General features: G+C 47.1%; 1 protein-coding gene and 2 non-coding genes across 26 annotated transcripts in view, besides 8 other annotated features; 1 reads left to right on the top strand and 2 right to left on the bottom strand.

The window, feature by feature from the left end:
* Positions 1 to 520: 520 nt before the first annotated feature.
* The window catches only part of BCAR3 (BCAR3 adaptor protein, NSP family member), a 286,411-nt gene continuing 265,849 nt past the window's right edge, over positions 521 to 21,082 (top strand). For 6 of the 24 annotated variants that reach the window (NR_178013.1, NR_171551.1, NR_178010.1 and 3 more), the window contains exons 1-2: positions 1,453 to 1,602; positions 2,960 to 3,105. The gene's annotated coding sequence lies outside the window, so the exon portion shown is untranslated. Of the gene's footprint in view, positions 1,282 to 1,452; positions 1,720 to 2,349; positions 2,502 to 2,761; positions 3,106 to 7,926; positions 8,127 to 21,082 lie in introns of those variants that run through there. The other 18 variants (NR_178006.1, NR_178007.1, NM_001412048.1 and 15 more) reach the window with 7 other exon arrangements.
* Positions 690 to 739: an enhancer, noted in NCBI's record as "active region_1343". NCBI's record gives its function as "activates an Ori minimal core promoter by ATAC-STARR-seq in GM12878 lymphoblastoid cells {active_cell/tissue: GM12878}" and the evidence as "EXISTENCE:reporter gene assay evidence [ECO:0000049][PMID:35858748]".
* Positions 954 to 1,744: an enhancer, noted in NCBI's record as "H3K27ac hESC enhancer chr1:94312484-94313274 (GRCh37/hg19 assembly coordinates)". NCBI's record gives its function as "activates a minimal SCP1, AML or CMV promoter by ChIP-STARR-seq in naive H9 embryonic stem cells {active_cell/tissue: H9 hESC(naive)}" and the evidence as "EXISTENCE:reporter gene assay evidence [ECO:0000049][PMID:30033119]".
* Positions 1,015 to 1,099, bottom strand: TRR-TCT1-1 (tRNA-Arg (anticodon TCT) 1-1). The gene is given in 2 exon segments: positions 1,015 to 1,050; positions 1,063 to 1,099. It is a non-coding gene; the product is annotated as a tRNA-Arg (tRNA).
* Positions 1,440 to 1,579: a silencer, noted in NCBI's record as "silent region_1088". NCBI's record gives its function as "represses an Ori minimal core promoter by ATAC-STARR-seq in GM12878 lymphoblastoid cells {active_cell/tissue: GM12878}" and the evidence as "EXISTENCE:reporter gene assay evidence [ECO:0000049][PMID:35858748]".
* Positions 1,760 to 2,139: a silencer, noted in NCBI's record as "silent region_1087". NCBI's record gives its function as "represses an Ori minimal core promoter by ATAC-STARR-seq in GM12878 lymphoblastoid cells {active_cell/tissue: GM12878}" and the evidence as "EXISTENCE:reporter gene assay evidence [ECO:0000049][PMID:35858748]".
* MIR760 (microRNA 760) lies at positions 1,761 to 1,840 on the bottom strand. Its single transcript, NR_030621.1, has one exon. It is a non-coding gene; the product is annotated as a microRNA 760 (primary transcript).
* Positions 2,230 to 2,289: a silencer, noted in NCBI's record as "silent region_1086". NCBI's record gives its function as "represses an Ori minimal core promoter by ATAC-STARR-seq in GM12878 lymphoblastoid cells {active_cell/tissue: GM12878}" and the evidence as "EXISTENCE:reporter gene assay evidence [ECO:0000049][PMID:35858748]".
* Positions 2,420 to 2,549: an enhancer, noted in NCBI's record as "active region_1342". NCBI's record gives its function as "activates an Ori minimal core promoter by ATAC-STARR-seq in GM12878 lymphoblastoid cells {active_cell/tissue: GM12878}" and the evidence as "EXISTENCE:reporter gene assay evidence [ECO:0000049][PMID:35858748]".
* Positions 9,092 to 9,292: a silencer, noted in NCBI's record as "peak325 fragment used in MPRA reporter construct". NCBI's record gives its function as "represses an SCP1 promoter by STARR-seq MPRAs in K562 erythroleukemia cells {active_cell/tissue: K562}" and the evidence as "EXISTENCE:reporter gene assay evidence [ECO:0000049][PMID:32103011]".
* Positions 14,913 to 15,551: an enhancer, noted in NCBI's record as "OCT4-NANOG hESC enhancer chr1:94298677-94299315 (GRCh37/hg19 assembly coordinates)". NCBI's record gives its function as "activates a minimal SCP1, AML or CMV promoter by ChIP-STARR-seq in naive and primed H9 embryonic stem cells {active_cell/tissue: H9 hESC(naive and primed)}" and the evidence as "EXISTENCE:reporter gene assay evidence [ECO:0000049][PMID:30033119]".

The following is a 21,082-nucleotide window of genomic DNA, read 5'->3' as shown; positions in this document are numbered from 1 at the left end:
GTAAAACAAGCCAGTATAGCATACTACCATTGTGTTTTTAAAAGGATATGTATCAATAACATTGTTATTTACGACATATTTATGACAAAAGATGTTAAAAATGCTGATATGGGCATAAAATAAATCTGAAAATATTTCCAAGAAACCATTACCACTAATGGCTTGTGGAGAGAATTGCAAGGCTGGACTATAGGAATAACATGGATGTTTACTTTTCCCTGTATCTTTTTTGACAATTTTGGATTTTGTATCTTTTGTGTGAATTACCTTTCATTGTTGTTTTACGAGTTTTAAGATTCCATTCATTCCTGGATTTATTTGCTAACCTTGTACAAAGTTAACAGTTGTCAGAAAAAGATATAGTAATTCCTGTCTTGAGGAGCTGATGGGCACTGGGCCTAGGACCTCTTTGCACTGGAATAATGGGGGAGGGGAGCGGGTGACCTTATCAGAAATGCAGATTCCTGGGCCCCACCCCAGACGGACCGAATTAAGAGTCCCAGAGTGACGGCAGAAATCTCCATTTTTGACGGGCTCCCGCTGGGATTCGGGTGTCTGCTCATCTGGAAGCCTCCATGCTGGAGAGGTAGTCAGCACAGCGCACGCAGGGCGTAGGCGTGTTTTCTCGTCCCTCCCTCGCAACCACAGTCCCGCTCAAGGCGTGGGGGTGTCACCCGAGACCCGGGCCTCCCCTGCACTTTCCTTTAGGCCGAAACCGCGAGCCTTCGCTTCAGTGTCGCTTTTCCTTCGCCGCCGCCGCCGCCGCCGCCGCCGCTCTTCTCAGGACCTACATCGACTGCCCAGTCGGCTGAGCTGGGCCCTGGGCCACCGAGGCCCGGGGAGCTGAGGGGCTCGGGACCCTGCGAGCCGCTTAAGAAAGGACCGCAAGAACCGAATGCAGTGAACTGCGAGAGCAGGGAATGAGAGAGAAGTTAAACCGTTTAGCAAAAAAAAAAAATAAGAGACATGATGGAGGCAGAAAATAAATTGTAGGGGGGAGGGAAAAAAGCGTTACGACTCCGCCGGGACTCGAACCCGGAACCTTTGAATGCCTTCAGCCTCTAGAAGTCCAATGCGCTATCCATTGCGCCACGGAGCCACCTGTTGGAGTCTCAGCGCATCTGCTATGTTAAGCCAGAGGCGACGGCCCCGCGCTCTTCCGACCGCGCCTCCCGTCGTCAGTGTCACCGAGACCCAGCCGCCGCGCTCAGGGCACTGCCATCCGCCTCAAACGCCAGCCGCAGGCTCTCGGTCTCCCCGCAGTGGTCGCCCCTCAACAAGGTCGGCGACCCAGTTGAGCCAAGGGCGGCCGCAGTCCGACGGTCCCACCTGGTCGGTGTGAGGGCAGCCGCAACCCGGTCCCCTTCACGGTCCGGGCCCAGCCGTACGAATCACAGTCGCGCTTTTCCCTCCCCGGCTCCCTTCCTGCCCCAAGCGCCCCGCCTACCAGGTCTCTCCGGCGGCCGCTCCAGCCCGGCCGGGACCCCAGAGTTGCAGGCCCAGGCCAGCCGTTGCACCGTTAAGCCGGGCCGGTGACGCCGGGCCTTTACGTCGCGCCTGTGAGCGGCCGAGGCCGAGCGGCCTCCCCTCGGGCTGCGAGACGTAAGCGGCGACCCCTCTCGGGCCTGGGCTCTTCCCTCGCGCCCGGCCGCCGCGCCCGACCCAGCCGCGGCTGGACCTGCGCGCGAGCGCCGCCGCGCGACGTCTGTGTGCGTGCTTGTGCGTGTTTATTTGCGCGGGGTTCGAAAAACGGGGTTTGGGTTGCATTTCGCTCCCCACAGACCCAGAGCCGAATTTCTGAGGTATCCGGGCTCTGGTGGACTGAGGGGGGCGACGCGCCCCGCGCCGCAGCATCCTCCGAGAGCTCGTCTTGCCGCCAGCACCTGCCTCCAAGGACGCCGCGCAGCTGCCCCGAGCCCGCGCGCCCGGGGCCCGCGACTGCGTGGGCGGAAGCCGGGAGGGTGTCAGCACGCGTGGGAGCGCTGGGAGCATGCGTATGCGGGTGCATGTGGTCGGAGGGCGCGCGCTCGAGCGCGGCCGCGGGGTTTCCTGGTGGCTGCGAGCGGTGGGGACGGCAGCGGGCCTGGCGCCGCTGCCCAGAAGGGTGCGGTCGCCACGAATCTGAGAGGCGGCTGGGTGGGGGCCGGCAGGTTTCCAGTGCCCGCAGTGATCCCCATCCGCAAGACCCCGAAGCCCTTTGAAATAGACGGTCAAAGCCGCGTGGTTGCTCTGCGACTGCAGCGGCGAGACCGAACGCCCGGCCCCCGTTCCTATTAGCTCACAGCAGTCCCGGCCCCGCCTACGGAGGATTCGCAGGGCGGCCGCTGGGCGCGCTTTCTCGGCTCGGCCACAGCCCGTTTCTGCACCAAACCCGCCAGCCGCGGCCCACCCTGTGCTTCACCCATACCCGCCCCTGCCCAGCATCGCCAGGCCTCAAATGCAGAATAGTCTCTGGCAGAGTTCAAAGAGGGAAAGGGAAGTCCTGGGAAGAGTCCAGTGTGGTAGGGATTTTACAGTCTTACTTAACCCCAAGACGAAGCTATGGGGCGGGTACATACACACCACCGTCCCCTTTATAATATAAAGAAGGGAAACTGCAGCTAAGAGAGGTTAAAAAACTCGTGTAGGGACGCCCAGCTAGTGAGCGTGGAGAACTGTGATGAATCATATTTTGTTATGTTTGCAAACTAACACGTTAGCTTTCACGGTTTCATGAATGCTGACAGAACACACCAGACTTCTGAGTCAGAGATAAAAGACTATTACAACAAAAGCAATAGCCAGAGTATCACCATTTTTGAGTTGGCTCCCTGGACCCCAGTTCTCACAGGAACGAAGCACACGGGCCCAGATGCATGCTTACACACAAGATGGGTTGCATTACAGAAGAGGAATGCTGAGCTTGGGGAACCCACCATGTTATAGTGAGCAGTAAGCAAGCCTGCTCTTTGTTCCATAGGGAGACATTACCTCATCCCTCAAGATTGCTCGCTGCAAACACAACGCTGAGAAATGGCCCAAGTAAAGCGTGATCAGGGTCTTGCATTCTTGGCACATCTAGGAAGAACGTGCAAGGATGCGAATTGTGAATCGCTTCTCCAAACAGTAAGTGGCAGAGCCCTGATTGGTGCCAGGCCTATTTAATTATACTCTAATGTAAACAAAGTTTTATATATATATATATATATATATATATATATATATATATAAAATTGTTATGCCCCTTTAATGAATTAAATGTCTTCACATTGCATGCAGGGAGAATTCTCATATGGATAAAATTAGCCTTTAAAATGGAATATGGTTTTAAATTGTATTTATTTAAACAAATCTTTTTTGAATTCTGAAATATGCCAGGCACTGGTGGCATCTCAGGGTCTCCACTGGTCTTAGGAGTTGCTCACAGCCGAAATGGGAGAAGAGATGCTCTGTATGCCTGTGGGAAAACCATACAGAGGAATTCTGCCTGGGGTATTGGAGCCAAATCTCAAATGATGAGGAGTCATTGACGTGATTAAGTGACAGTTGAGATGCGTATATAAAAATTCTGGAAAGGGGGAATTGGGAAAGAAACAATGTGCTAAGGAAAGATGTGTATGTGTTTGATTCCACTTAATGATTCAAACGAATAATTTTAGATATTTTATTCCACTAGATGAAGCCAAAAAAATTCCTGTATCATGGAAAATATTAGAGATACAGTGTTAGCAGACAGTGTGGGAAAGCCAGGCTTTCCCTGTGCAGCCTTCTGTGAGCTATCAAGGTTGTACTTCTTATACCCTGCAATTAGAAGACTGGGGCCAGGTGCAGTGACTCACGCCTGTAATTCCAGCACTTCTGGAGGCTGAGGCGGGAGGATCACTTGAGGCCAGGAGCTTGAGGTTACAGTGAGCTATGATCGCGCCACTGCACTCCAGCCTGGGCGACAGAATGAGACCCCATCTCCAAAAGAAAAAAAAAAAAAAAAAGAAGAAAGTCACAGCCAAACAAGGTCAGGTGTGTGGTGGTTCTCTGAACAATTAACTAAGCAGTTTATAGGTAGCAATGTTAGCATGTAAGAAAAATGAAAAGAGTATTTAGTTGCCATCTGGGGAGAAAGATTCAGTGGGTGTTGTCTTCCCCTTATCTAATCTGGCTGAATTTTCTCAGGCTGTATCTGTAGTAAACAGCCATTATACAACCTGAGCTAAGAATTCCCGCAAGTGAGAAAGCAACCTCTTCCTGCCAACAGAGGGAGTCAAAGCATGGGTTATAACCACTTTCAATTAGGCTGATTGCAGCACATCTGCAGTTTGAGTTCGCTGGACAGCAAAGCCCTAAATTAAATACGGTTTCATGTTGGTGTTTTATTTTTATTTTTATTTTGAGACAGAGTCTCACTCTATCACCCAGGCTGGAGTGCAATGGCATGATCTTGGCTCACTGCAACCTCCATTTCCCGAGTTGAAGCAATTCTCCTGCCTCAGCCTCCTAAGTAGCTGGGATTACAGGCACGTGCCACCACACCCGGCTAATTTTTGTATTTTTAATGGAGATGGGGTTTCACCATGTTGTCCAGGCAGGTCTTGAACTCCTGACCTTGTGACCTGCCTGCTTCGGCCTCCCAAAGTGAGGCGTGAGCTACCGTGCCTGGCCAGCAGGATTATTTTTAAGTTACTGTGTGGTTAGTGATTTCGGCCTTCCCAGAAGCTCTGGAAATGGACTATACTTCTACTGTATATATTTGCACTAGCTTTGCTTTACTCCAGAGGTATAAGGTTGCTGGAGTACCAGTTTTATTCAATTCAATGAGTAGGGACAATACAGTTAGGCCTACTGTGGGAACCAAGTGAAAGTTTAAGACATAATTCCTACCTTCAAGGACACTCCAAATTTCCTAGGAGAAATACGATTTATGAATATGAAGCAATAAGCAAATGAAGCAAGGTAGCATGTGAAAAAGTGGCATAATGTGACTGGGCATTCCTACCGGTAAAAATTTTTCAGTTTGGACCCCCAAGGAACCAGGATGCTCTATTATACTACTAATAAAACATACCTAAAAAGGAATTTTTAAAGGGTGAGATTTAAAAAACAAACAAACAAAAACTGTGGTAGTAGCAGTTAAGAGTACAGCCTGTGGAGTCAGGACCCTGTCATTCAAATCTTGGTTCAGCCTTTATTTGCAGGACATGATCCTTAACTTCTCTGCCTGAAAAATTATAAAATTGTTATGAGAATTGCAAGAGTTAATCCTCTCAAGGACTTGTCTCAGTTCTGGCACATGGTAAGTGTGTAACAAATATTTGCTATTATATTAGTAAGTAGCTCTTAATAAAGAAATCCCACATCCTGCAGAAACAAAGGACAGTACAGATACAGCATCAGCTAAATTTGTTGCAACCGGAGGGACATTCTGCAGCTCCCTACCCCACTCCTACTCAGCTGTACATTTCATTTCTGTTACCGAACAGAACACTTAGCTTCTCAGACTGAAGACATCTACCTTCAGCTTCAATTCCTCACAGTTCTTAGTTCAAGAACCTTAGGCACATTTTTATTTTCATTTGTCCCACCCACCACATGGTTTCCCAAGACAAGGGTACCATCCACCCTTAAGGACTTAAGAAGACTCATTTCTTGCTAGAAAAATCTACTCACAACGTTGAAATGAAGGCCTTTTTCATCCTAAAATCTACTCACAACATTGAAATGAAGGGCTTTTTCATCCTAAAATATCTCAGTGCTGAGTGTGATTACTGAGCCAGGCCAATAGCCAAACCACATTAGGTGGCCAGGCAGGAACAGGGGAAGGAAAAGAAAATTTTCCAGGATGAAGAAAAACATAACGTCAAGACAAAAATGAGGGTTGGATGGGTCCTTATGGAAGTACAGTTTGGGGTGATGGAAGATGTGTCAACAGACGAGGTTGGGAAGGTAGGATCCAGGCCAGATACGGCAAAAGGGGTAGGGGCAGACTTGATTCAAGATAAGGAATGTGGCAATGGGAAAGCATTTGGCATGAGAAAAGCTGTGTTTAGAGTGATTACTATAGGAGGGGATGTGCAGGCAGAATGGAGTGGGTCCAGAGGGTCAGGGAGACTACTGCATCCTATTTAATTTGTCTGATTTCTTCATCTTTTCAGAAAACCGTCTGAGGGTCCAGTAGTGACCTTGGGGCATACAGAGATGAAAAACACATGTGCTTGGCTTACAAGCCTTATAGAAAGGATGATAGTCCAGGCGTGGTAGGTAGCTCATGGCTGTAATCCTAGCACTTGGGGAGGCTGAGGCGGGTGGATTGCCTGAGCTCAGGAGGTCGAGACCAGCCTGGCCAACATGGTGAAACCCTGTCTCTACTACAAATATAAAAATTACCCAGGTGTGGTGGCACATGCCTGTAATCCCAGCTACTCGGGAGGCTGAGACAGGAGGACTGCTTGAACCTGGGAGGCAGAGGTTGCAGTGAGCCAAGATCACAGTATTTGCACTCCAGCCTGGGCAACAGAACGAGACTCCATCTCTGGGGAAAAAAAAAAAAAAAGGATGACAGGTACACAAACAGCTGTGATGTAAAATAAAAAGGTCTTTAAGTGAGGTGCAGGTGTGGTGATACGGGACTTCAGGGAAGAGAAAGATTACATTGTGAGAGGGAATTACACAGGGAGGCTGCATTTGAAATGGGCTATCTAACCTAGGACTGACTTGCGTACAAGGAATGCTGTGGCTAGGGCGCAGGGTAGAAACCAGACTCAGGAGTTATGAGGAAGAAGATAGGACAAGGCTGGGAAAATAATGGAGGCTGAGCAGTTCAGTGCACAGTGTTTAAAAGGGTGCCAAAAACTTGACCTTGGTTGCAGCAGGTGCTGGTAAAGAAGGTCACTGGGGTTCAGAGTACTGGTGACAAAGTCAGGCATGGTTCTGTGCCATCAGCCTGTTCAGAAGAGGACAAGAAACACAGCTAAGGATAAAGGGAACATGATCTGGTCCCGAAAGGGGAAGGCTTGGGAGGCTGATTGAAAGACTTAGACTGGTAGAGTGGTATTCAGAGAAGAAGTCTAGTCATGAAGGAAAACTGAGGCAGATGCAGGTATATCGTGTCTAAGGCAGGCAGCACCACCAATTCCAGATCTCATGGCTGGTTGCCTGGCTGACCAGGCTTCCAAGCCTAGTAGGGCTCAGGAAGGATGTAGGAGTATCTTGTAAGTGGCAGTTACCTGTCTCTGCTGTTGAGATGGCTAAACAAAGGCTGAGCCTTACTTGGGTCTTCAAGGCTGGTCAGGCTTGTCCCTGCACAAACAAAAGACCACATTCATTCATTTAAGCATTGAGACTAGCCAGGCTCTCCACAAGTCTCTTGGGACCCTTTGGTGAAGAAGACAAATGCTGTCCTTGCTGCCATGGACCTTGCAATCTTGAGCAAAGTCAGACAGCAGAGCATGAATGAGTATAGGAAATGGGCTTGACTTAAGAGATACAGCTGAGAAAGTCAGTGGGGCAAAGATCCGGAAGCGCTTCAAATGCAAGGCTAAGGAGCCTGGGGTTGAGCAGCCCCATGTCACCTCCTCCGAGAATTTTCCCAGACATTCTTCTGCAGCCTAGTCTGCTGGTGGTGGGGAGGGACTCCTGGATTCCCAAGGTACTTTCAAAGCTCTATAATTTTCTGTGTGGTTTTCTATCTCTTCTCCCAGACAATAAGCATCTTGGGGGAGTGGGAGGAAAGTGGGGGGAGCACGTCTTCTTTTCCTTTATCTTTGTAACCTCAGTCCCTAGCATTGTGGCTAGCTCACAACAAGTAGCTTTGAATATTGATTGAACAAATGAATGAGTCCTGTAGGCAATAAGGAAGCTACTTGACTATGTGCCTAGCTTATCTTCTGCATTAGACCAGAAGCTCTTGAAAGCTAAACATCCGTGCTTTCTAACTGTTTTGTAATTCTCCCCAAGGCTTGGCAGAATATCATGTACACAGTGGACACTCCATAAATGATGCCTGAATGCGTTTGTGGAAGTAGAAGTGGATCTTCAGTGTCCTAATTCCTGCTTTCAGTGACCCAGTTTGGGGGAGTAGGTCTTAAATTTCTTCCCCTCAGAATGACATCTCTGCCTTTTAAGTTCTCAACAAACTAGTAGGATGACTTCTTCTGGTAAGCATATTTGGAAGGAAAGGCATTCTGAGCCCCACTCGTGGGCCTCACAACAAATAACCATCTATTAAAGCTTAGTGAATCTTAATTGTTTAGCAGTTGAAAATAATAATGAAGTAATAACGCATCACACCAGGCACTTTTCTGGGTTCTTCATGTATATCAGACCTCACTTAATCTTCATAACAACCCTCTAAGGTAGGCAGGATCATTGCCCCATTCCCAGATGGGAAGGCAAACCACAGGGAAAGCAGCAGGATTGAATCCAGGCACCTGTCCCCAAGTTCACATATACCCTGGACTACAGCAGTTTCTCCTAGAAAAGAAATCAGGAGAGAATCAGCAAGCAACTGGGAGCAGACTTGTTAGACTAGCGGTCTTCAAACTCTACCACGCTCTAGAATCTTGATGCCCAGGATGCACCCTGAGGCCAGTTAAATCACAATTTCTGGGGATGGGACCCTGGCATCAGCATTTTTTTTAAACTCCCTAGGTGATTCTCATATGTAGCCAAATTTGAAAATAATGCCCTCTGCCCTTCCTGCAAAAATGCTGACCATGAACCAGGAGTATCAGCATGACCTGGGAGCAGATTAGAAATGCAGGCTCTCGGCCCCACCCTAGGCCTGCTGAATCAAATCTGTATTTTACTAAGATCCCCTCAGTGACTCATTTGCACTAAAGTTTAAAATGCACTGGTTTAGGGCTTAGGTATTCAAGCTCTCATTATTCCACTTGGGCTTCTGTTATTAGCATGAATTTAAATCCTTAATAAGCAAATCTCAAAACTCCATCAAAAAGCTCAGAATCAATCTGATATATTGGCCCAAAAAAATTACTTCAGAGGAAACTATGACCTTTTACTTCTCATTTTGTGAGGGAACTGAGGAAGAAAAGTTATATTGCTAATGGTGTCTAACAGAATGTAGATTCAGTCCAATCTAAAAGAGGCAGATGAATAACTCCTGGCTGCCTTCCTTCTTCTGAGTCAGAAGGATCAGGCCCACGACCTCAGTTAGGCAATGACCATACTTGAGTACCAAGCTGATTGATAAAGAAAATCCTCCAGCCAGAGGTATCTAAGCTTTCACAACTTCTGCTGTTTCCCCATGGTATGTTCCTGTTATAGACCCATAGATGAGATCAGCAATCCTTGTCCCAATTGAGATCTTGTTGTTTGTCATTCAGCTTTCTGAATCTAACTAGATACATTGCCCACTTTTTAGTTTAGTTTAGTTTTTTTCTTTTTATTTTCTTTTAGACTGAGTTTCACTCTTTTTGCCCAGGCTGGAGTGCAGTGCCACAATCTCGGCTCACTGCAACCTCCACGATTCAAGCGATTCTCCCACCTCAGCCTCCTGAGCAGCTGGGATTACAGGCACATGCCACCACGCCCAGCTAATTTTATATTTTTAGTAGAGATGGGGTTTCACCAGGCTGGTCTCAAACTCCTGAGCTCAGGTGATCCACCTGCCTCGGCCTCCCAAAGTGCTGGGATTACAGGCGTGAGCCACCACGCCTGGCACTTTTTAGTTTTTATTTGCCATTGCTTTGTTTATTTATAACTAAATAACTGAAATTTGGAACTAGACTCAGAATGTGTCCCAGTTCATCTGAAGGACATGGAGGTCCACTGGGATGCTCCTTATTTCACTATTTCACTATTTTTTGGTCTTTGCCCACTTTTTCCTTGAAATGATCCATTCTGTGCATTTTATTATATCTCAAGACATCAGGTAGATAGTCACAACCAGTAGCAAATACACCGGCTGAAATTGCCCTCCTTGCTTGGAATGTCTGCCCTTGAATGCAAATTATTTACTTCTGGATCCCTGACAGTGTAATTGTATAATAACTGCGTTTGTAGAATGGTAAGGTTAGCATCCCGTTTTTCTCAGATCTTCAGTAGCAGACTATAAATGACTAGAAAGGGGAGGGCTACTTAGTATCAAGTTTTTCAACACTAGTAATGGAGAGGTGCTATGGTTTGCATAGAGTTAGTTTGTCCCCACCAAAATGCATGTTGATATTTGATCCCCAGTGTGGCAGTGTTGGAGGTCAGACCTAGTGGGGGGTATTTGGGTAATGAGGGTGGATCCTTTATGAATGGCTTCGTGCTACTCTCATAGTAGTACATGTGTTCTCACTGTTGCTAGACTGGATTACTTCTCATGGATATGGATTGGTTTCCAGGGAGTGGGTTGTAATAAAGACAGGATGCTCCTCAGGTTTTTCTCCCCCTTCACACATGTCCACTTCCCTTTTGATCTCCTTTGCCATGTTGTGATGCAGCACAAAAGCCCTTGCGGGAAGCAGGGCCATGCCCTTGAACTTCTCAGCCTGCAGAACTGTGAGCTAAGCAAACCTCTTTTCTTTATGAATTACCCAGTCTCCAGTATTCTTTTATAGCAATACAAAACAGACTAAGGCCAGGAGCATAAAGAGAGAAAGAAAGGGGCCATCCCTTCCCCCATTTCTCTGGATGATCTTACTTGCTGGCCAAGCGTTTGTCATTTCTAAGCCTGTGGCGAACAATAATGATACATGGAAAGACCCTGTAGATACTGTCCTAACAAGAGTCCATGCTAGAGCCTTGAACATGACTCATGTGAGTGTTGAATGGATCAATTAATTCTTCAGGTACATTTATGACTGGGGCTGATACTGAGCTCATAGGTACTAACATGAAGTAAGGGCCAGAGCCCATTCTCATTGAGCAGGCTACCCACCACTCTGCTGGGCTGGTACCCACACTGTACCACTCATTACAGATGGCACCTAGAATGTGAGAATGTGGCTCCAAGTTGCAAGCCAGAAAACAAAGAAATGTTTACAACCCAACCTGATATGGCTTACTTACAGGACTGGTTAAAGGGAGAGAAGTGGAGCCTGATTGGCTAGGAATCTTGAAGGGGTGGGACCCAGCAGTCTCAGAGCTGCAACAAGATGGATCCTGGAGAAGGAATGAGAATTTAAAGTAATTCGAACTGAGAATGGATTAATATGGCTCTCTAGTAAATCTGGAGGCAAAATTTGGAAGCAACAGAGAAGTAAAAAGGAAGGAGAGACCAGGAACAGGAGCTGAGTGGGTAGAAGCTCATTGAAGTTTTGGGGAATGAAGAAGGAGGAAGAAGAAAGAAGGTGCATCAATTACATTGAACTAAGTGAGTGAAACACAGAAAACACAAAACACAGAGCAACTGAGGCTTAAATGAACTGGAGCTTTATTCTATATTGCTAGCTGTATTAGTCCATTCTCACTTTGCTATAAAGACATACCTCAGACAGGGTAATTTATTTATTTTTTTATTTTTATTTTTTACTTTTTTGAGACAGAGTCTTGCTTTGTCACTCAGGCTGGAGTGCAATGGCACAGTCTCAGCTCACTGCAACCCTGCCTCCCGGGTTCAAGCGATTCTCCTGCCTTAGCCTCCCAAGTATCTGGGATTACTGATGCTGTCGTGTGCATCCATGTGAAGAGACCACCAAACAGGCTTTGTGTGAGCAATAAAGCTTTTTAATCACATGGGTGCAGGTGGGCTGAGTCTGAAAAGAGAGTCAGCGAAGGGAGATGGGGTGGGGCAGTTTTATAGGATTTGGGTGGGTAGTGGAAAATTACAGTCAAAGGGGGTTTTTCTCTTGCAGGCAGGGGCGGGGGTCACAAGATGCTCAGTAGGGGAGCTTCTGAGCCAGGAGAAGGAATTTCACAAGGTTAATCGCTCAGTTAAGGTGGGGCAGGAACAAATCACAATGGTGGAATGTCATCAGATAAGGCAGGAACCGGCCATTTTCACTTCTTTTGTGATTCTTCAGTTACTTCAGGCCATCTGGATGTATACATGCAGGCTTGGGCTCAGGCCTGACATTCCTGTCTTCTTATGTTAATAAGAAAAATAAAATGAAATAGTGGTAAAGTGTTGGGGCGGTGAAAATTTTGGGGGGTGGTATGGAGAGATAATGGGTGATGTTTCTCAGGGCTGCTTCAAGCGGGATTAGGGGTGGTGTGGGAACTTAGAGTGGGAGAGATTAAGCTGAAGGAAGATTTTGTGGTAAGGTTGTTAGAAGGAGCATTTGTCGTATAGAATGATTGGTGATGGCCTGGATGTGGTTTTGTATGAACTGAAAAATTAAATGGAAGACACGAGGTCCAAATAAGAGAAGGATAAAAACAGGTATTAAAGGACTAAGAATTGGGAGGACCCAGGACATCTAATGTGAGAGTGCCCAAGGGGGTTCAGCATAATTACTTGTTTGGTTGGCAAGTTTTTAGGCTCTATCCAAGTTTTGGGGATGCAGTTCAAGTTGGGCTGATGTCTGAAATGAGACTGGGGCCTAATAAAAGGGAGTGTCCGTACAGGAGCTTAAATGGGCTGTACCCTGTAGCATCTCGAGGACAGGCTCTAATTCTGAGAAGGGCAAGAGGTAAGAGTACTGTCCAGTCCTTTTTAAGTTGGAGGCTGAGCTTGGTGAGGTGTGTCTTTAAAAGACCATTAGTCCATTTTACCTTTCCTGAAGATTGAGGATGGTAAGGGGTATGAAGGTTCTGCTGAATACCAAGAGCCTGAGAAACTGGGTGATTTGACTAATAAAGGCCGGTCCGTTACCGGACTGTATAGAGGTGGGAAGGTGAAACTGAGGAATTATGTCTGACAGAAGGGAAGAAATGACCGCGGTGGCCTTCTCAGACCCTGTGGGAAAGGCCTTTACCCATCCAGTGAAAGTGTCTACCCAGACCAAGAGGTATTTTAGTTTCCTGACTCAGGGCATGTGAATAAAGTCAATTTGCCAGTCCTGGGCAGGGGCAAATCCCTGAGCTTGATGTGTAGGGAAGGGAGGGGGTCTGAACAATCCCTGAGGAGTAGTAAAATAGCAGATGGAACACTGAGAAGTGATTTCCTTGAGGATAGATTTCCACGATGGAAAGGAAATGAGAGGTTCTAAGAGTCAGGCTAGCGGCTTGTAACCTACATGGAAGAGGTTATGAAATGACGACAGAATAGAATGGGCCTGTGAGGCTGGAAGAAGATATTTTCCTTGGTCCAAGAACCATTTGCCTTGTGTGGGAGGAGATTGATAGGTGGAAGTTTCAGTGGGAGAGTAGGTGGGAGTGACCGAAGAGGAGGAGGAGGAAAACTGGCCGTGAGGGACAGAAGTTGGAACGCTAAGCTGCTTCTTTAGATACCTTATCAGCATAAGCGTTGCCCTGAGCGATGGGATCTGATGCCTTTTGATGGCCCTTGCAGTGAATGACTCCAGCTTCCTTTGGAAGTAAAGCAGCCTTGAGAAGAGTTTTTATTAAAGAGGCATTAATGATGGAGGACCCTTGAGTAGTGAGGAAACCTCTTTCAGCCCATATAACAGCATAGTGGTGTAGGACATGGAAGGCACATTTAGAATCAGTATAAATGTTGATGTGTAGTCCCTTTGCAAGCATGAGGGCCCAAGTTAAGGCAATGAATTCAGCTTACTGAGAGGTAGTGGAGGGGGCAGAGCAGTAGCCTCGATAGATGTGGAAGATACTATAACATAGCCTGCCTTTGCTGGTGAATGGCAATTAGGCCTGGTGGAACCGCCATCGATAAACCAAGTGTAATCAGGGTGAGGAACAGGAAAGAAGGAAATATGGGGAAATGGAGTGAATGTCAGGTGGATCAGAGAGATAGTCATGGAGGTCAGGTGTGGTATCAGGAATAATGTGGAAGGCCAGATTGAAGTCCAGGCCAGGAACAATGGTAATTGTGGGAGACTCAACAAAGAGTGAGTTTAGCCGAAGGAGCCAGAGGGCAGAAAGTATGTGCATCAGATGTGAGGAAGAAAATAGATTTTGGAAGTTATGAGAACTGTAGAGAGTGAGTTGAGCATAGTTTGTGATTTTGAGGGCTTCTAAAAGTATTAAAGCAGCGGCAGCTGCCACACACAGACATGAGGGCTAGGCTGAAAGAGTAAGGTCACGTTGTTTGGACAGAAAGGCTACAGAGCGCAGTCCTGGCTCTTGGGTAAGAATTCTAACCACACGGCCCTGCACTTCAGCTGTGTGTAATGAAAAAGGTTGGGATGAGTTAGGGAGAGCTAGTATGGGAGCAGCTTTTAGGGCTGTTTTTAAGGAATGGAAAGAGGAGTGGGGAAAGGATTTAGGATCTATGGGGTCAGCTAGGTTTATCTAGAATAGAATAATGGGTAGTGGAGGGAGGTATTGAGGGATAGGAGAGTATATGGGTTTGGCACCATAGGGTGGATAGGCAAGACAATTTGGTTGATAAAGCGCAGATCCTGAACTAACCTGTAAGACTTGTCTGGTTTTTGGACAGGTAAAATGAGGGAATTGTAAGGAGAGTTTACAGGCTTTAAAAGGCCATGCTGTAACAGGCAAGTGATAACAGGCTTTAATCCTTTTAAAGCGTGCTGTGGGATGGGATATTGGCATTGAGCAGGGTAAGGGTGATGTTGCAGGAAGTCAGGGAACCCAAACGGAGGGACTGGCTGAAGCCACGGCAGAACATAAATTGTGAAGATTTCATGGACATTTGTTAGTTCCCCAAATTAATAGCTTTATAATTTCTTACGCCTGTCTTTACTGCAATCTCTGAATGTAAATTTTGAAGATTTCATGGACATTTATCACTTCCCCAATCAATAGTCTTATAATGTCCTATGCCTGTCTTTCTTTTAATCTCTTAATCCTGTCATCTTCATAAGCTGAGGATATATGTCACCTCAGGACCCTGTGATGATTGTGTTATCTGCACAAATTGTTTGTAAAGCATGTGTGTTTGAACAATATGAAATCTAGGCACCTTGAAAAGAACAGGATAACAGCAATTTTCAGGAAACAAGGGAGATAACCATGAAGTCTGACTGCCTGTGGGGCCAGGCAGAACAGAGTCATATTTCTCTTCTTGCAAAAGTGAATAGGAGAAATATCACTGAATTCTTTTTCTCAGCAAGGAACAGCCCTGGGAAAAGAATGCATTCCCAGGGGAGGCTTCTAAAATGACCGCTCTGGGAGTGTCTGTCTTATGCAGTTGTAGATAAGGGATGAAATACACCCTGGTCTCCTGCAGCGCTCCCAGGCTTGCTAGGATTAGGAAATTCCAGCCTGGAGAATTCTAGTCAGACTGGTCCTCTGCTCTTGAACCCTGTTTCCTGTTAAGATGTTTATCAATGACAATGCATGCACAGCGGGACATGGAACTTCATTAGTGATTCTAATTTTGCCCTGGCCTTGTGATCTTGCTCTACTCCCATTTGCCTTGTGATATTTTATTGCCTTGGAAGCATGTGATCTCTGTGACCCACACTATTCCTACACTCCTTCCCCTTTGAAAATCGCTAATAAAAACTTGCTGGTTTTGCAGCTCAGGTGGGCATCACGGAACCTGCCGACATGTGATGTCACCCCCAGAGTCCCAGCTGTAAAATTTCTTTCTTTTGTACTCTTTCTCTTTATTTCTCAGACCGGCCGACACTTGGGGAAAATAGAAAAGAACCTACATTGAAATATTGGGGGCTAGTTCCCCCAGTAGGGTGATTAGGTTTTAATGGGATGGTAAGGGGGGCATCATCCATCACCAAGGAGGGAGTAGAGGTGTCCTGTACTTGTGGATTAAGGTGGGGAGATACAAGGAGAGGACATGAAGGAGGCTTTGAACTGGGGGAAAAGGTGGCAGTGAGGTGTGGCTGTAGCCCAGGAATAGTCAGGAAAGCAGATAATTTAGTTAAAATGTCTCTACCTAATAAGCGAGCTGGGCAGGTGGGGATAACTAAAAAGGAGTGCATAAAAGAATGTTTTCCGAGTTGGCACCAGAGTTGGGGAGTTTTAAGAGGTTTAGAAGCCTGGCCATCAATACCCACAACAGTTATGGAGGCAAGGGAAACACGCCCTTGAAAAGAAGGTAATGTGGAGTAGGTAGCCTCCGTATTGATTAAGAAGGGGATGGACTTACCTTCCACTGTAAGAGTTACCCAAAGCATCTGTGATGGTCCTGTAGGCTTCCGAGGTGATTGGGCAGTGTCAGTCTTCAGCTGCTAAGCCGAGAAGATCTGGAAAGGAGTCAGTCAGAGAGCCTTGGGCCAGAGTTCCAGGAGCTCTAGGAGTGGCTGCCAGGTTGGACAGTCTGATTTGCAGTGGGGTCCCGCACAGATGGAACATGGCTTAGGAGGAATCGCAGGCTGCAGGCATTCCTTGGCCCAGTGGCCAGATTTCCGGCACTTGAAGCAAGATCCTGGGGTAGGCAGTCCTGGAGGAATGCCTGACTGCTGTGGTTCAGGCGTTTGGAAGTTCTTGTGTGCTGGAGATGTGGCTGGGGTTTGTCTCACAGTGTAGGCAAGGAATTGCAACTCAGAAATACGTTGCTACTTGGCTACCTCTACTCTATTATTGTACACCTTGAAGGCGAAGTTAATCAAGTCCTGTTATGGGGTTTGAGGGCCGGAATCTAATTTACGGAGCTTTTTCTAATGTCAGGAGTGGATTGGGTAATAAAACACATATCGAGAATAAGATGGCCTTCTGGCCCTTCTGGGTCTAGGGCGGTAAAGCATCTAAGGGTTGTTGCCAGATGGGCCGTGAACTGGGTTGAGTGTTTATATTTGATGAAAAAGAGCCTCAATGCTAACTTATTTGGGAGAGGTCAGATAAAGTAAAAGGAGCATTAACCTTGGCTATGCCTTCAGCTCCAGCCACCTCTTTAAGAGGAAATTGTTGGGCAGGTCGGGGAGGGCTAGTTGCGGAAAGAAACAGTAAGCCGGACAGGATGTGAGGAGGGGATGATAAAAGGATTATAGGGTGGGGAAGTGGAGGCTGAGGAAGAATTGGGACCTGGCTCAGCCTGCCAAGGAGCAGCCTGGGGAGGAGGGGAGAGGTCAGATGAGTCCATAGAAAAGGAGGATTCAAAGGAGTCAGAGCTTGGGGTGGAGACTGAAGGAACAGACAGGAGAGAAAGAAGAAAGATTTGGGACGAGTCGCTTCAGGAACAGAGATTAGGGAGGGACCAATGTGTAAAAGAATGCCTGGACATCAGGCACCTCAGACCATTTGCCCATTTTTCGACAAAAATTATCTAGATCTTGTAGGATAGACAAATCGAAAGTGCCATTCTCTGGCCACTTGGAACTACTGTCAAGTTTGTACTGGGGTCAAGTGGTATTGCAGAAGAATATAAGGCGTTTAAGTTTTAGGTCAGGTGTGAGTTGAAGAGGTTTTAAGTTCTTGAGAACACAGGCTAAGGGAGAAGAAGGGGGAATGGAGGGCGGAAAGTTGCCCATAGTGAAGGAGGTAAGTTTAAAGAGAAAGGTAGAGACACGGAGAAGCAGGTGGGTGAGCAGCCAAAGCAGGTGTCCCTGCAGTTGACTTGTCACCAAGAGAATGTGGGTGAATGACCAAGGTAGGCATCCCCATGGTGATCAGACACCAATGGAGTATGGGCGAATAATCAGGCAGGCGTCCCCACAGTGATTAAACACCAAGGGAAGACTGTCTTCCTGAGTCTGTGACCGCCACCAGAGTTTTGGGTCCACGGATAAAATGTGTCTCCTTTGTCTCTACTAGAGAGGAAAATGAACTGGAATTGGAAGGACAGGGAGATTGAAGGGTAGCGAGAAAGGGAGATTGAAGGGTAGCAAGAGAGGCTGGAGAAGAGAGTGAAAAGACCACTTACCCAATTTGAAATTCATGAGATGTTTCTTGGGCTGGTTGGTCTGAAGACCTGAGGTGGTAGGTGGATCTCCTCACAGAGTGAGGGCAAAGACAGGAGACCAGTCTCCTGAAGGAGTCCTCCTGTCCCAGGTTTTGGCACCAAATGTGACGCACGTCCGTGTGAAGAGACCACCAAACAGGCTTTGTGTGAGCAATAAAGCTTTTTAGTCACATGGGTGCAGGTGGGCTGAGTCCGAAAAGAGAGTCAGCGAAGGGAGATAGGGGTGGGGCCATTTTATAGGATTTGGGTGGGTAGTGGAAAATTGTAGTCAAAGGGGGTTTTTCTCTTGGAGGCAGGGGCGGGGATCAGAAGATGCTCAGTGGGGGAGCTTCTGAGCCAGGAGCAGGAATTTCACAAGGTTAATCGCTCAGTTAAGGTGGGGCGGGAACAAATCACAATGGTGGAATGTCATCAGTTAAGGCAGGAACCGGCCATTTTCACTTCTTTTGTGATTCTTCAGTTACTTCAGGCCATCTGGATGTATACATGCAGGCTTGGGCTCAGAGTCCTGACAGACGTGTGCCACCACGCCCAGCTAATTTTTGTATTTTTAGTAGAGACAGGGTTTCACCATGTTGGCCAGGTTGGTCTCGAACTCCTGACCTTGTGATCCACCCACCTCGGCCTCTCCAAATTCTGGGTTTACAGGCATGAGCCACCACACCCGGCCAAACTGGGTAATTTATAAAAAAAAGAGGTTTAATTGGCTCATGATTCCACAGGCTGTGCAAGAAGCATGATGCTAGCATCTGCTTGGCTTCTGGGGAGGCCTCAGGAAACTTACAAATATGGTGGAAGGCAAAGAGGGAGCAAGCACTTCACATGGCCAGAGTAGGAGGAAGAGAGAGTGAGTGGGGAGGAGCTATACATTTTTAAACAACCAGATCTTGTGAGAACTCTATCATTATACAGTACCAAGGAGGGATGGTGATAAACCATTCATGAGAATTCCACCCCCATGATCCAGTCACATCCCACCAGGCCCCACTTCCAATGCTGGGGATTACAGTTGAACATGAGATTTGGGTGGGGACACAGATCAAAACCATTTCAGTAACAAAGTCTGGAAGTAAGCCATTGTAGGGGTAGAAATGTGTGGTACCTTTTCTCAACCATCATAAGGCTCACAGCCAACACTTTTATAACAAAAGACAAATTAACAAGGGAAAAGCATGGCAAATTTATTTAATCAAAGTTTTAGGCCAGGCGTGGTGGCTCGTGCCTGTAATCCCAGCACTTTGGGAGGCCAAGGTAATACAGGAGTTATTAAGAAATAATTTTTAGGCAGCTAGAAAGGGTGGGAGTTCTCGGTGGAATTTTCCTTTAATAAAAAGCAGCCCCAAAACCATTTCTTCTCTAACAGAAAGCAGACTGAGAAGGCATAGATAAGGAAACTAGGAGTTTTTATATGTAAATGCAGACAGCTGGAAGCCAGGTACATTCAGTATGGCATCTCCCACCCTCTTTTCCTTGTCACCAGGTCTCTCACCCTCTTTTCCTTGTCACCAGGTTTATGGGTGTCACAGCAGCCTCCAGGTAAAATCACGTGTACAAGTATAGCCACCACCAGGTGGAGGCCATATTTGCATAATAAAAGACTAGGGTAGGAGAGCCAGTCTTTTCCTGGGCTATGTGAATGGCACACCTGGTCAACCCAATCCCCTGAGCCCTAAGTAAATCAGTCACCGCCTCCTCAAGCCTGTACAAAACCAATTGCGTTCCACTGCAGACCGGAGACCCTCTTTTGGGTGACCTGCTTTCTCAGCATGAGGAAGCTTTTTCTCTCTCTTTTCTTCTATTAAACTTTCCACTCCTGAACCCACTCCTCGTGTGTGTCCATGTCCTGAGTTCTTTCTCAAGTGAGACCAAAAGCCAGGGTATATACCCCAGACAACAGAGCTGTTTCACAGGTGGATGGATCACTTGAGCCCAGGAGTTCAAGACCAGCCTGGCAACATGGTGAAACCCCATCTCTACTAAAAATACAAAAATTAGCCGGGTGTGGTAGCATGCGCCTGTAGTCCTAGCTACTTGGGAGGCTGAGACACGGATTGCTTGAACCCAGGAGGCAGTGGTTGCAGTGAGCTGAGATCGTGCCACTGCACTCCGGCCTGGGTGACAGAGCAAGATCCTGTCTCAAAAAAAAAAGTTTTACATGATGCAGGAGACTTCAAAAATGAATACACAAAGACCCAGGGAAAACTGTCCACTTTTATGCATAGATTTGATGAAGATGAACAGCTGTGTAGAAATGTGATTGCACAAAAAGGAGGGGCAGGAACCCAGCAAGGCCTGTCTGTTCAGATTCTTCTTGGTCTTACTGTGTAGCATTCCTTCCTCCCAGGCAGAGGGGAGAACCCCTCTGGAGCAAGGATAACCTGCAGTCAGACAAGGTAGGTCAGGGAATTTATTTATGGCTAGCTTCTGCACAGAAAGGCAGGGGAAGGTCAGAGTAATATTTCTAGGTTTTATAGCTTAATTTGGAAGAGAGGGATTCTAGTTTCTATGACTTGCCTTGGGGAAGAGGAATTATGATATTTTCTAAAGAGACAAGGTCTTGCTCTGTCGCCCAGGCTGGAGGGCAGTGGTTGCAATCACAGCCCACTGCAACCTTGAACTCCTGGGCTCAAGTGAGTGATCCTCCTGCCTCAGCCTCGCAAGTCATTGGTACTACAGGCACATGCTGTCATGCCCAGCTAATTTTTTTTTATTGTTTGTAGAGACAGGGTCTTGCTCTGTAGCCCAGGCTGGTATGCAGTGGTGCAATCATAGCTCACTGCAGCCTTGATCTCCTGAGCTCAAACAATCCTCCTGCTCTCTGCCTCCCAAAGCACTGGGATTACAGGCATGAGTCACTATCCCCTGCAGGAATTGTGATTTCTATGACTGGGAAGAATGAGGGGCAAGAGACATGAGGGTGGGAGAAGGTCAGAGAGAACTTGCTACTGGGGCTGCTTCTGAGGCCTTCCAATCTCTTTTAGTTTGAGGTACTCAGCATGCCAATGTCTTATTTTGGGGTATTGTTTTCTGAGCCCCAACACTGTCCATCACTTCTCTCTCTCTCCCCTACATACTTTCTCCTTCCCTCCCTTCTCCTTTCTCTCCTCCTTTCCCTCCTCCCTTCTCTTCCTCTCTCTTTCCCTCCCTCCCTCTTTCCTTTTAGATGCGTTTACAAGAAGGCTGGATATAGAATCAGGAGACCTAGAAACCTGGCCTGGTCTTATCCTTAACTTAGGGTAAGTAACTCAGCCTCTCTGGACT

The sequence above is a fragment of the Homo sapiens genome, chromosome 1 (genome assembly GCF_000001405.40).
Source record: "Homo sapiens chromosome 1, GRCh38.p14 Primary Assembly".
Classification (NCBI taxonomy): Eukaryota; Metazoa; Chordata; class Mammalia; order Primates; family Hominidae; genus Homo; species Homo sapiens.
Note: the sequence above shows the minus strand (reverse complement) of the source record. Positions and strands in the feature narration are given on the sequence as shown.